The sequence below is a fragment of the Homo sapiens genome, chromosome 5 (genome assembly GCF_000001405.40).
Source record: "Homo sapiens chromosome 5, GRCh38.p14 Primary Assembly".
NCBI classification, from domain to species: Eukaryota; Metazoa; Chordata; class Mammalia; order Primates; family Hominidae; genus Homo; species Homo sapiens.
The window spans coordinates 141206514-141220136 of NC_000005.10; the positions used below are offsets into that span (position 1 = coordinate 141206514).

Sequence of the window (13623 nt, forward strand, 5' to 3'; positions counted from 1 at the left end):
GGGAATATTAACCAGACATTTTCAAAGGCTTTCTTCTGCTTTCTATATTATTGTTCCTTTTTTTTTTCTTGATGGTAGCGATGGTGGTAGTTTTGGTCTTTCTATGTTATGTTGCAGGCATTTCCTCAAATGCCTTGGCTATCTTCTCGTATTTTAGAAGGATGATATATCAAAATGCTGACAATCAACTCTGTGAGCGAACAGTACCTGTTGATGGCAGGGCTTCATTCTAATATAACCATGCTAGGATAAGTCTATTACCTTATGAGATGCCAAATATTAATATGTGTCTTCATTTGGGCTTTCATATTCTCCAGGTTAGAATTCTACAATATACACTATGGGGATAGACTAGGGGTCAGGCATACACTTTGTGTCCTACAGTCTAAGAGTATTGCATGAAAAGGGATTAGAAGTCTCACCATGCAAAATGCAAAGGTTTGCTTACTCTCCCTATTTTCAGTTTGACACCTCACACTTGTGCTCAGCTGTGCCTAGATCCCCAAGACTAGAGAAAGTCCCATTAAATTTCTCCAGAGAATAAACTTTCTATTTTCTGGCTGTGAGTTATGTTTCCATCTATGTAGGGTGATGAGAAGAACAGAGAATTCAATTATCCTCTACACATACTTCCAACTAATAACTTTTTTCCATCCTTAACTGACTTCAGTCTTCTTAAACATCTGGTTCCTCCAGATCTTGCGCTTAAAAGAGATTATGTTTCTTGTGAGTATCTTCAATGCAGGAACTTTACTTTAGGGGCACTTTTTGGAACTGCTAAGTTAATTGCTCTTCCACCTGCTTTCTGTCATAGAAAAATGTATGTGTTCACTTGTGTATTCTTAATCTTTGTTAGTTCCTACCATTTTAATTACTTTTCTGCCATTTTAGTGCATATTTTTTTTTAAAAAGAGAGGTTAATTGTGTGTGCTCAATTCATCTACTTTTCAAGTTTTACCCTTCTGTACCAATTACTATTTCAACCATGTATCCAGCTTACATTTTTAAGAATATTAATTGAATTTAACATTTTAAAATGCAGACTTGTTGGATTCTTCTCCCATCCATTCTTAGTGCACTTTAAGACTTTCTATAGTGAATATCACTGATGAGCCCTTAGCATCTGTTGCAAACAGTCTCCCTCATTTTGTACCAATGAGGTACTTTGGCTAGGACTGAAACCTTCCCAAGCTTAAGAGGTGGTCCCAGACAGGATTAAAACACAGTAATGGCCAGAGACAGGTCTTTAGATTCTAGGACTAAAATCTCCAACTATAATTCTATACCTCTTGAAACAATGATTGCTTCAGTGGCAGACACATGATCTTACTTGGTCTAATTAGAGTGAAAGTTAGGTTTTTGTTCTATGTTTAGGGATAGACTCTTACTTTCTCTTCCTGGGCTGAAAGAGAAAACAGATAGCTACAGTTGTGGCTACAATAAATTTTGGGAACCTAAGGCAAGTCAGCTTTAGGAATAAGAGTCTGCTTTAAATTAAACTAACTTGCTCATGCTTGTGTACTTATGAATTTTTTTGTAAATTATGAAAAACTGGAACTAAATGATGGGTTTACATAACATGTTCCACCCCAATCTCTTGCTTCATTTTCTGCCTGTTCACAATTCATTGCTATTAAGGAAATCTACAGAAGTGCCTTTTTATGCTGTTGTGTTGACCTATATATGCCTCATCTCATGGTTAATCCAGTTTCATAACTTCAGAAAGGATTTCTGAGATGACCTTTCCTTTACCTTATCACGTAAGGAAAGCCAAGTAGTAATAGAATTTCATTCAGCTTAACAATCACTTATACCCTGCTTGTTTCAGGCTTACAATTGTCTCAGAAACACTATGAATTCCTGGGAGCCAGGGATCACATCTTGTATCTGTGTTTACCACAACTGAACACATTTGGTTGTGAGAAGAGTGGGGAAAGACACTGAATAAATGCTTTAAAACAAAATCATCATCACAAACTATAAAGAATATAAAACGATTATTATGGAAGATAAAATATATTTTTAATTACTTCAACAGAAGGAATTATTTAAACGCAATATTTATTTGCTTCTGGAGGACATTTATGTAAATAAAATTTAGGTAGTGTTCATCAAACTGTGAAAATCTGTGGAGACGCGTGGTGGCGCTGCAGGATAATATCAAGAAAAAAATTACCCTGGAGGATGTTGTAGACCCTGTTATCCAGTACACGCGGAGAACTGGGAAGACAGAAAGAACAATCCTTTAAGGGAGAACCTAGAAGCCATTCAACAAGGTTAAAATCTTCAGGCTTCCGAGGATTTGGTAGACAGATCAGAGGCACGTTTCCCACAACTGCGAAGAGGCGCTGAGGCAATTCTGCAAGAAGATTTTGGGGTTTTGGAAAAGAAGCTATGGAAAACGGAGGGGCAGGCACTCTGCAGATAAGGCAAGTCCTGCTTTTCTTTGTTTTGCTGGGAATGTCTCAGGCGGGCTCTGAAACTGGGAACTTTTTGGTGATGGAGGAATTGCAGAGCGGGAGCTTTGTAGGAAATTTGGCAAAGACCCTGGGACTCGAGGTGAGTGAGCTGTCTTCGCGGGGGGCTCGGGTGGTTTCTAATGATAACAAAGAGTGTTTGCAGCTGGACACAAACACTGGGGATTTGCTCCTGAGAGAAATGCTAGACAGGGAGGAGCTCTGTGGCTCCAATGAGCCTTGTGTGCTGTATTTCCAAGTGTTAATGAAAAACCCCACGCAGTTTTTACAAATTGAGCTCCAGGTCAGGGATATAAATGATCACTCTCCCGTCTTCTTGGAAAAAGAAATGCTCTTAGAAATCCCAGAGAACAGTCCTGTTGGTGCTGTGTTCTTGCTTGAAAGTGCAAAGGATTTAGATGTAGGAATCAATGCTGTAAAAAGCTACACAATAAATCCGAACTCTCATTTCCACGTTAAAATAAGAGTCAATCCAGACAATAGGAAATACCCTGAGTTAGTTCTGGACAAGGCGCTGGATTATGAAGAGCGCCCGGAGCTCAGTTTCATCCTCACTGCTCTGGATGGCGGGTCCCCTCCCAGGTCTGGAACTGCCTTGGTCAGGGTGGTGGTTGTAGATATTAATGACAACTCCCCTGAGTTTGAGCAGGCTTTTTATGAGGTGAAGATTCTGGAGAATAGCATCCTTGGCTCCCTGGTTGTGACCGTCTCAGCCTGGGATTTAGACTCTGGAACAAACAGTGAACTATCCTATACCTTTTCCCATGCCTCAGAAGATATTCGCAAGACATTTGAAATTAATCAAAAGTCTGGTGACATTACTTTAACAGCACCTTTGGATTTTGAAGCAATTGAGTCATACTCAATAATCATTCAAGCCACAGATGGGGGAGGACTTTTTGGAAAATCTACAGTCAGAATTCAGGTGATGGATGTAAACGACAACGCTCCTGAAATCACTGTGTCATCAATTACCAGTCCAATCCCAGAAAACACTCCAGAGACTGTGGTTATGGTTTTCAGGATACGAGACAGAGACTCTGGGGACAACGGAAAGATGGTTTGTTCTATCCCGGAGGACATCCCATTCGTGCTAAAATCTTCGGTAAATAATTACTACACTTTGGAAACAGAGAGACCGCTGGACAGAGAGAGCAGAGCCGAGTACAACATCACCATCACCGTCACCGACTTGGGGACCCCCAGGCTAAAAACCGAGCACAACATAACCGTGCTGGTCTCCGACGTCAATGACAACGCCCCCGCCTTCACCCAAACTTCCTACGCCCTGTTCGTCCGCGAGAACAACAGCCCCGCCCTGCACATCGGCAGCATCAGCGCCACAGACAGAGACTCGGGCACCAACGCCCAGGTCAACTACTCGCTGCTGCCGTCCCAGGACCCGCACCTGCCCCTCGCCTCCCTGGTCTCCATCAACGCGGACAACGGCCACCTGTTTGCCCTCAGGTCGCTGGACTACGAGGCCCTGCAGGGGTTCCAGTTCCGCGTGGGCGCCACAGACCACGGCTCCCCGGCTTTGAGCAGCGAGGCGCTGGTGCGCGTGCTGGTGCTGGACGCCAACGACAACTCGCCCTTCGTGCTGTACCCGCTGCAGAACGGCTCCGCGCCCTGCACCGAGCTGGTGCCCTGGGCGGCCGAGCCGGGCTACCTGGTGACCAAGGTGGTGGCGGTGGACGGTGACTCGGGCCAGAACGCCTGGCTGTCGTACCAGCTGCTCAAGGCCACGGAGCCCGGGCTATTCGGCGTGTGGGCGCACAATGGCGAGGTGCGCACCGCCAGGCTGCTGAGCGAGCGCGACGCGGCCAAGCACAGGCTGGTGGTGCTGGTCAAGGACAATGGCGAGCCTCCGCGCTCGGCCACCGCCACGCTGCACGTGCTCCTGGTGGACGGCTTCTCCCAGCCCTACCTGCCTCTCCCGGAGGCGGCCCCGGCCCAGGCCCAGGCCGACTCGCTCACTGTCTACCTGGTGGTGGCGTTGGCCTCAGTGTCGTCGCTCTTCCTCTTCTCGGTGCTCCTGTTCGTGGCGGTGCGGCTGTGCAGGAGGAGCAGGGCGGCCCCGGTCGGTCGCTGCTCGGTGCCTGAGGGCCCCTTTCCAGGACATCTGGTGGACGTGAGTGGCACCGGGACCCTGTCCCAGAGCTACCACTATGAGGTGTGTGTGACTGGAGGCTCCAGGTCAAATAAGTTCAAATTTCTGAAACCAATTATCCCCAACTTCCTACCCCAGAGCACAGGTAGTGAAGTCGAAGAAAATCCCCCATTTCAGAATAATTTGGGTTTCTGATAAAGAATGAAAAATAAAACCTGTGTTTATGAATACATTTATAATTAGGAACTTATCGTGAGGTGCCTGTAAAGTAGTATTTTTGATCACTTCAAATACATACTCTTCAAGTCAAGAAATAAATTTCTTTACATAGAAAAGGATACAGATTTAGTACCAAGAACACTTCACAAAGCAGGAAATGTGCATGTGTAATGGTTTATGTCAAACAATTATGCTTAATATAAAGTCTATTAAGTGGTAAGTCTTGTTTGAGATATTTTAAATTGCTTTCCATTGTTTTCAATATTTACTGTGACTTTTGTTTTCTGAGTTGATTAGAATGCTGTTCGAGTATACCTACCCTAGTTTCAGAAGCATAGATTGTAGTGTACCTTTTTAAACTTTATTTTTTTAAAAAAAGTTGTTTTATGAATCATACACTATTTTCACACTTTTAATCTCAGAAGAAACATATGTGACATGGTATTTTAGTAATGACCAAATAGACGGTCTTAGAGATTCAGTAAGTTCACTAAGGTCCACTAACTAATAAGTGACAAAACTGAGCATCCATCCTAGATCTGCCTGACTCTAAGTCAGTGACTTTGCTCCCATTCCATACTGTTTTTGTCATTGGATATCACCTGGCAAGTTTCTGCCTAACTAAAGAGAAGAAAAGTTTTTATCGTATTCATACTACTGTTCAATCTTTATTTAGAAATAAACTTTATCTATGATTTCATTTTCTTATAAACCAGTAATCTTGCTTTTCTGGGTAAATTTTCAGCTATTATTACTAATGCTCTGATCTGCCCAAATCTTAAGTAAAAAACAAAATTGAAAGAGCAACCTATGCCTTCTCATTGTCTCCTGAACATATAACTATCATTTCACAGAAAAGATTAATGGTCCTGATTAGGAATAGTACATAATTTTGATGGCATTATTAGTTAATTATTTTCTTTACATTGTAGTATATTTCCAGAGTCACCCATGCTTACATTTGTAATATATTTTCCTGATTTGAGAGTTTGTTTTTAGCAGTTTTTCTTACCTATACTGCACTGCTGAATCAGGAAAATTTAAGAAAAAGAATAGATTTAAATGTGTAATATCAAAGAGAAATATAGATGATCATTAAATTTTTAGAAATTTTGGGGAGTTAAGGAGAAGCATTGTTTGTTAAAAATATATAACCGATTCTTATATTTAAAATAGGTAATTTTTGCATAGTTGTGTTCTAAATATATTATAAACTAGTGCCAGTAACTCTAATAAAGCTAGTATTACTGCATATCACTGGTGGGATAGAATCTAAGGACAAAAACTCACAGTAGTAAAATCTAAAATTGCTTTCATGGTCTCAGGGTAAAATTATCCAATTTCTCTGACAAATAAATGGCTCAAAAAATAAGAGGAGTGAAGTTTACACAAGGAAAAATCTTAAGAGGTCTACCACTCAAATACAATGTGTGGATCTTTTTTGGATCTTGATTGAAACAACAGCAATGACTTTGAAAAACTTGGAAGAATTTGAATATAGATGGGTATTAAATAATGTTAACTTGATTTTTAGGTATGATAATGGCATTGTACTTAAGCATATTTTTAGAGTCATTTAAAGTCATGATGCTTTTAAAGAAATGTATAATGACGTATTTGTGGGAGAAAATTCAGTTTGTCTGGGATGTGAAAATGTTGAAGGGATAGAGTCAAGAATTATGGCAAAACATTGATAATAGTTGAAGCTAGTACTGAGTCCTTGGAGGATCATTATACTCCTCTCTTTTATGAGATTTGAAAAATTTCAAAATAATGTCTTTTAATTGATGCTGTTAGAAGTGGAGGTAATAAAAAAGGACATCCTTCCCAGAAACAAAATCACCACTGCTGTTACAGATATTGTCTCTATTTAGACAAACTCTCCAGCCTTTCCTTGTTCATTTCCTTTCATTATTGGACATAACCTCTCTACCTGAGATAGTCATGCTCCTGTATTCTTCTACCATTTGAATTTCGAGGTGTTTATCTAGTTATAGTAATGGATTTATGCTAGACTTATGATGGATTTATGCCATCAAGACTCAGTTACTTGATGGCATCAAATTGCTTTATACTTGGTATATACCTTATTTTTAAGGTTAATATCTATTTGCATTAGATTCCTCATGTTTAAGGTGGGGAATTCACAACAGCCCTATGTGGTAGGTACTGTTCTTATCCTCACTTTACAGAGGAGCAAACTAAAGCAGAGAGATTAAATAATTTGTTCGAGGTTCACAGCTACTAATTATTCCTATGGTTCATGGAAATAAAACTATAAAGATCTAAATGTTGTCCATGATAACTACAATTATATTTGAAATTCTTTTTGCCAAGCTAGACTATTACCTAAATATTTCCTTTCTGCCCAAAACTCAGTTATCATTGTTGAAAGACTAATGTGATTTCTCCTTTGGGCAGTTGTCTGCTCACTAAAGTCCGGCGATATTAACGGTGGTGTTGTAACCTTACATAGTCTCGGGGTGCATACAGGCAGAGTTGGGAATATTACATCCATTATCATTCCACAAAATGTAAGATCCTGTGAGGACGCGTGGTGGCGCTGCAGGATAAGAAGGCACAAACCAGAACCGCAGCTGCAGCTCCATTAACCGGCAAAAAGCAGCAGAACCTGGAAGTCCACGGGGAGCTTGGATGCCAAAGGGAGGACGGCTGGGTCCTCTGGAGAGGACTACTCACTGGCATATTTCTGAGGTATCTGTAGAATAACCACAGCCTCAGATACTGGGGACTTTACAGTCCCACAGAACCGTCCTCCCAGGAAGCTGAATCCAGCAAGAACAATGGAGGCCAGCGGGAAGCTCATTTGCAGACAAAGGCAAGTCCTTTTTTCCTTTCTCCTTTTGGGCTTATCTCTGGCGGGCGCGGCGGAACCTAGAAGCTATTCTGTGGTGGAGGAAACTGAGGGCAGCTCCTTTGTCACCAATTTAGCAAAGGACCTGGGTCTGGAGCAGAGGGAATTCTCCAGGCGGGGGGTTAGGGTTGTTTCCAGAGGGAACAAACTACATTTGCAGCTCAATCAGGAGACCGCGGATTTGTTGCTAAATGAGAAATTGGACCGTGAGGATCTGTGCGGTCACACAGAGCCCTGTGTGCTACGTTTCCAAGTGTTGCTAGAGAGTCCCTTCGAGTTTTTTCAAGCTGAGCTGCAAGTAATAGACATAAACGACCACTCTCCAGTATTTCTGGACAAACAAATGTTGGTGAAAGTATCAGAGAGCAGTCCTCCTGGGACTACGTTTCCTCTGAAGAATGCCGAAGACTTAGATGTAGGCCAAAACAATATTGAGAACTATATAATCAGCCCCAACTCCTATTTTCGGGTCCTCACCCGCAAACGCAGTGATGGCAGGAAATACCCAGAGCTGGTGCTGGACAAAGCGCTGGACCGAGAGGAAGAAGCTGAGCTCAGGTTAACACTCACAGCACTGGATGGTGGCTCTCCGCCCAGATCTGGCACTGCTCAGGTCTACATCGAAGTCCTGGATGTCAACGATAATGCCCCTGAATTTGAGCAGCCTTTCTATAGAGTGCAGATCTCTGAGGACAGTCCGGTAGGCTTCCTGGTTGTGAAGGTCTCTGCCACGGATGTAGACACAGGAGTCAACGGAGAGATTTCCTATTCACTTTTCCAAGCTTCAGAAGAGATTGGCAAAACCTTTAAGATCAATCCCTTGACAGGAGAAATTGAACTAAAAAAACAACTCGATTTCGAAAAACTTCAGTCCTATGAAGTCAATATTGAGGCAAGAGATGCTGGAACCTTTTCTGGAAAATGCACCGTTCTGATTCAAGTGATAGATGTGAACGACCATGCCCCAGAAGTTACCATGTCTGCATTTACCAGCCCAATACCTGAGAACGCGCCTGAAACTGTGGTTGCACTTTTCAGTGTTTCAGATCTTGATTCAGGAGAAAATGGGAAAATTAGTTGCTCCATTCAGGAGGATCTACCCTTCCTCCTGAAATCCGCGGAAAACTTTTACACCCTACTAACGGAGAGACCACTAGACAGAGAAAGCAGAGCGGAATACAACATCACTATCACTGTCACTGACTTGGGGACCCCTATGCTGATAACACAGCTCAATATGACCGTGCTGATCGCCGATGTCAATGACAACGCTCCCGCCTTCACCCAAACCTCCTACACCCTGTTCGTCCGCGAGAACAACAGCCCCGCCCTGCACATCCGCAGCGTCAGCGCTACAGACAGAGACTCAGGCACCAACGCCCAGGTCACCTACTCGCTGCTGCCGCCCCAGGACCCGCACCTGCCCCTCACATCCCTGGTCTCCATCAACGCGGACAACGGCCACCTGTTCGCCCTCAGGTCTCTGGACTACGAGGCCCTGCAGGGGTTCCAGTTCCGCGTGGGCGCTTCAGACCACGGCTCCCCGGCGCTGAGCAGCGAGGCGCTGGTGCGCGTGGTGGTGCTGGACGCCAACGACAACTCGCCCTTCGTGCTGTACCCGCTGCAGAACGGCTCCGCGCCCTGCACCGAGCTGGTGCCCCGGGCGGCCGAGCCGGGCTACCTGGTGACCAAGGTGGTGGCGGTGGACGGCGACTCGGGCCAGAACGCCTGGCTGTCGTACCAGCTGCTCAAGGCCACGGAGCTCGGTCTGTTCGGCGTGTGGGCGCACAATGGCGAGGTGCGCACCGCCAGGCTGCTGAGCGAGCGCGACGCGGCCAAGCACAGGCTGGTGGTGCTGGTCAAGGACAATGGCGAGCCTCCGCGCTCGGCCACCGCCACGCTGCACGTGCTCCTGGTGGACGGCTTCTCCCAGCCCTACCTGCCTCTCCCGGAGGCGGCCCCGACCCAGGCCCAGGCCGACTTGCTCACCGTCTACCTGGTGGTGGCGTTGGCCTCGGTGTCTTCGCTCTTCCTCTTTTCGGTGCTCCTGTTCGTGGCGGTGCGGCTGTGTAGGAGGAGCAGGGCGGCCTCGGTGGGTCGCTGCTTGGTGCCCGAGGGCCCCCTTCCAGGGCATCTTGTGGACATGAGCGGCACCAGGACCCTATCCCAGAGCTACCAGTATGAGGTGTGTCTGGCAGGAGGCTCAGGGACCAATGAGTTCAAGTTCCTGAAGCCGATTATCCCCAACTTCCCTCCCCAGTGCCCTGGGAAAGAAATACAAGGAAATTCTACCTTCCCCAATAACTTTGGGTTCAATATTCAGTGACCATAGTTGACTTTTACATTCCATAGGTATTTTATTTTGTGGCATTTCCATGCCAATGTTTATTTCCCCCAATTTGTGTGTATGTAATATTGTACGGATTTACTCTTGATTTTTCTCATGTTCTTTCTCCCTTTGTTTTAAAGTGAACATTTACCTTTATTCCTGGTTCTTAAAAGGTGACAATTCATTCTTTAACCCAGATGGTCTTAATTTGTAATTAATTTGCCTCCCTAAAGAGCAATACCAAATCACATTTTTTTCATGCCCCTATCTTTAGCTGAACTTCACCCACTATTATGCTTATGGTAAAATTAAATAGAGCAATTTGGAAGTGATTCCAATTTTCCAGCATTTCTTCATTTGATTCTCTTTTTTTAGTCTTAAAATAATGACTCCTATTCAGACATATCATTTTTCTTTTTTGTAAATCCAGTGCGTTTTTAGTTAACCTTTAAATATGCTTTTTGCTTTCAAAAATAAACCAGAAAACCTATATCCTATGATACAACTCTAAGTGTTATCACTTGATTCGAAAGGGTCAGAAGACCAGTTTTTTAGTATCCTTTCCTCATTCATCCTGGAGAGGATTGTGCAGGCACATTAATATTGTGACCAATCACAGAATCTGGGAATATGAAGCTATAATTTTTTAATTAATGTCACAAAGCTCTAGTGCAATCTAGTTGAATGCAGATGCCTGTGCCCAAATAATAATTCATATAGCATAAATTGGAGTTGTGTGTTAATGTGTAAAAATTTTTGCCTGTACTATCATATAATTTAATGTATATACACCAGAAACTATTTTTCAAACTTTTTTTACTGCAACCAATAGTTAAGATTATATTTTACATATTTTGAAACACACAAGCTTAATAGAAATAAATGCTTGTGAACAATGCTTAGTCTTTTTATGACATAATTTGAAATTACCTATATATTTCATTCTATTCAATTTTCAAATGTGGTCATGATCCACTAAATTTATTTCATGGTATACTAGTGGGTAGTAACCCAAAGTTTGAAAACCACTTTTCTCAGACATATAAAAGCATACCAGATGTTGAACATTGATAGTATCAAAAGATAGTCCCTTAGGGTTCTAATTTTAAAAAAATTTTCAAAGCATTGTAGGGGAGTAGCTTTGTCTCATGTTAAATCACTCTTACCTTTAAGGATCTGACACACTATGTAAGAAAAAGACTTCAAGGTTGGAGGAGGAGATTTTCCATGACTTTTATCAAAGTCTACAGTCTATGTTGTGGGAGAAAAATGTAGAATAACAAAATGAGTAAAAGTATAGAGGCAAAACAAGCATGTGTATGAGAGAGAGAGAGAAAGCATGGAAAAGAGGAAATTCATGGGGATGAGCAAAATGACTACTTCCAGTGCCACAGACTAGACTCAGTTGCTTCTCTTATGTTATTTTTTGAGACAAGGTCCTGTTCTGTCACCCAGGCTGGAGTGCAGTGGTGTGATCTCCACTCACTGTGATCTCCACTCACTGCAACCTCCACCTCCTGGGCTCAAGTGATCCTCCCACCTCAGCCTCCCTAGTACCCAGGACTACAGGCCCAGGCCACCACACCCACTAATTTTTGCATATTTAGTAGAGACGAGGTTTCATCATATTGCCCAGACTGGTCTCGAATTCCTGAGCTCAAGCAGTCTGCCTGCCTCAGCCTCCCAAAGTGCTATGATTACAGGTATGAGCACCTGGCCTCAACTACTTCTTGAAGATATTTTAAAACTTTATCTTAACATTGTAGAGGGACTGGGTATTAGTCAGTTGATAATGCCAAGAAGTGCAATCTCTTTTAATAGCATATCTAAGACAACCTAATGTTTATACTTCTGACTCAGATTTCACTACTGGTTCTGTTGAGCTTTGTCAACTGAGTAATTATTCTTTTCTTTTTTCTTTCTTTGTTTATGTTTTAGAGACAGGGTCTTAGTCACCTAGGCTGGAGTGCAGTGGTGCAATCATAGCTCACTGAAGCCTTGACCTCCTGGGCTCAAGCAATCCTCCTGACGCAGCATCCCAAGTAGCCGGGACCACAGGCACATGCCACCCCCCACAGCTATTTTTGTTTGTTTGTTTGTTTTTTGTTTTGTTTTGTTTTTGAGGCAGAGTCTCACTCTGTCACCCAGGCTGGAGTGCAGTGGCGCGATCTCGGCTCACTGCAAGCTCCGCCTCCTGGGTTCCCGCCATTCTCCTGCCTCAGTCTCCCGAGTAGCACCCCCAGCTATTTTAAAAAAAATTTTTGTAGAGATGGGTTCTCATCATGTCGCCCAGGCTGTTGAACTTCTGGCCTCCAAAGGTGGGAGTTATTCTAGCAGCTTCCCTGTGATCTTCTCATATCTACTGGTGGAGTGGGAAAGAGTAGTTCAAACAACTCAGACAGAAAATCTCGCTGGTGCAACAGTGGAGAGAAGGGCCAAGTACTTGTCCTGTTACTTCCAGTTTTTCTAGATATATGAGCAGCAGGACTCCTCTCTTTATAAAAAGAACTATGAGTTTCCTGGCTCTAATGAAGAGTGACCAGGCATTCAGGAGCTCAAATGCCCAGATACATATAACCAACCAATTCTCCTAGAATGCATTGCTAAAAACGAATTTTGCTTATATGCTTCAAAGACCTCATTTATAGTTATACTTAAAACAGTGCATAGGAATCAAGCTGTATCAGCCAATTTTATATGAAAGAACTATAGGTTGTAAGTAACTTAGAATATAATTTTTTATCTAGCGGGGGTTAAAGGACACTTAGAAAATAGAGACACAAGAGATGGCCCAGCCTTACAGAATGGATTCTCCTGAAAACGCTTACAATAAAAACCAAATAACAGTATTTTTTTTTTATTTAGGCAATAGTATGGGAGGGAAAAGGGACATAGGACATTTTATCTTACAAACACATTGTTCTCTTTATCTTTCTGTTTCAAGTTCTACCACCACTCCTGGGTCCACTGATTAATCTAACAACATGGCCTCTCAGTCCCTAAGTCTTTACCTCTACTCCTGTTTTTCAGTCATTAATGCCCTGGCTACATATTGTACTTTTTCCCCACCAAGAAACTGTTCTATGATATAATAATTTCAGCTATCTCCCTCTGAGTGCACAATTGTCTATGCCTATAACCTTCTCATTCTGCTGTTTCTATCACATCTTGTCTTTGACCTTATCAGAGCTCCATTCCATGGTGCTGTTACTACCTATCAAACGCTCCTGTTTTAATTTCCTTCCTATTCAGCTGATTTCCTGGTTTACCACTCCCAGTTGCTCTCATGCCCATATTCTCAATTCCCTTGTTCAATTTTCCTTCACTAAAACCACCTGATGAAACTCCAGCCCAGATGAATATAGTCCTCCTCCTCTCTTACACATGGGGTGCTGCACTCTATAAGACCAAACTTACAAAATTAGCAATACCACTGCCACTATAAATGTATAATATTCAAACCTAATTGGGCTTCTGAGACCAAGAACTCCTTTTATAATTTTTCTAACGAGCTTTCTCTTCTACGCTCCACAACAACTATTTTAAACCTACGTATCTTACTTTAAACTTCTTACCCTACCACTTAGATACCCCCTTTTATCCGATGAACTTG

General features: G+C 42.9%; 2 protein-coding genes and 1 further gene across 2 annotated transcripts, besides 2 other annotated features; all 3 read left to right on the forward strand.

Moving 5' to 3' along the window:
* PCDHB@ (protocadherin beta cluster) overlaps positions 1-13623 on the forward strand; it is a 197972-nt gene that overhangs the window by 155120 nt on the left and 29229 nt on the right.
* On the forward strand, positions 2206-6058 carry PCDHB12 (protocadherin beta 12). Its single transcript, NM_018932.4, has one exon. The coding sequence runs from the start codon at positions 2395-2397 to the stop codon at positions 4780-4782; it is 2388 nt and encodes a 795-aa protein (NP_061755.1). The 5' UTR covers positions 2206-2394; the 3' UTR covers positions 4783-6058.
* Positions 3638-4227: an enhancer, noted in NCBI's record as "H3K27ac-H3K4me1 hESC enhancer chr5:140589723-140590312 (GRCh37/hg19 assembly coordinates)". NCBI's record gives its function as "activates a minimal SCP1, AML or CMV promoter by ChIP-STARR-seq in naive H9 embryonic stem cells {active_cell/tissue: H9 hESC(naive)}" and the evidence as "EXISTENCE:reporter gene assay evidence [ECO:0000049][PMID:30033119]".
* Positions 7406-12466, forward strand: PCDHB13 (protocadherin beta 13). The gene has a single exon (NM_018933.4). It carries the CDS (start codon positions 7611-7613, stop codon positions 10005-10007), a length of 2397 nt encoding a protein of 798 aa, NP_061756.1. The 5' UTR covers positions 7406-7610; the 3' UTR covers positions 10008-12466.
* Positions 8983-9511: an enhancer, noted in NCBI's record as "H3K4me1 hESC enhancer chr5:140595068-140595596 (GRCh37/hg19 assembly coordinates)". NCBI's record gives its function as "activates a minimal SCP1, AML or CMV promoter by ChIP-STARR-seq in naive H9 embryonic stem cells {active_cell/tissue: H9 hESC(naive)}" and the evidence as "EXISTENCE:reporter gene assay evidence [ECO:0000049][PMID:30033119]".

Bases quoted from the DNA above. Each gene is read 5' to 3' on its own strand.
- PCDHB13 (NM_018933.4), top strand. From the start codon at position 7,611: ATGGAGGCCAGCGGGAAGCTCATTTGCAGACAAAGGCAAGTCCTTTTT.
- PCDHB12 (NM_018932.4), top strand. From the start codon at position 2,395: ATGGAAAACGGAGGGGCAGGCACTCTGCAGATAAGGCAAGTCCTGCTT.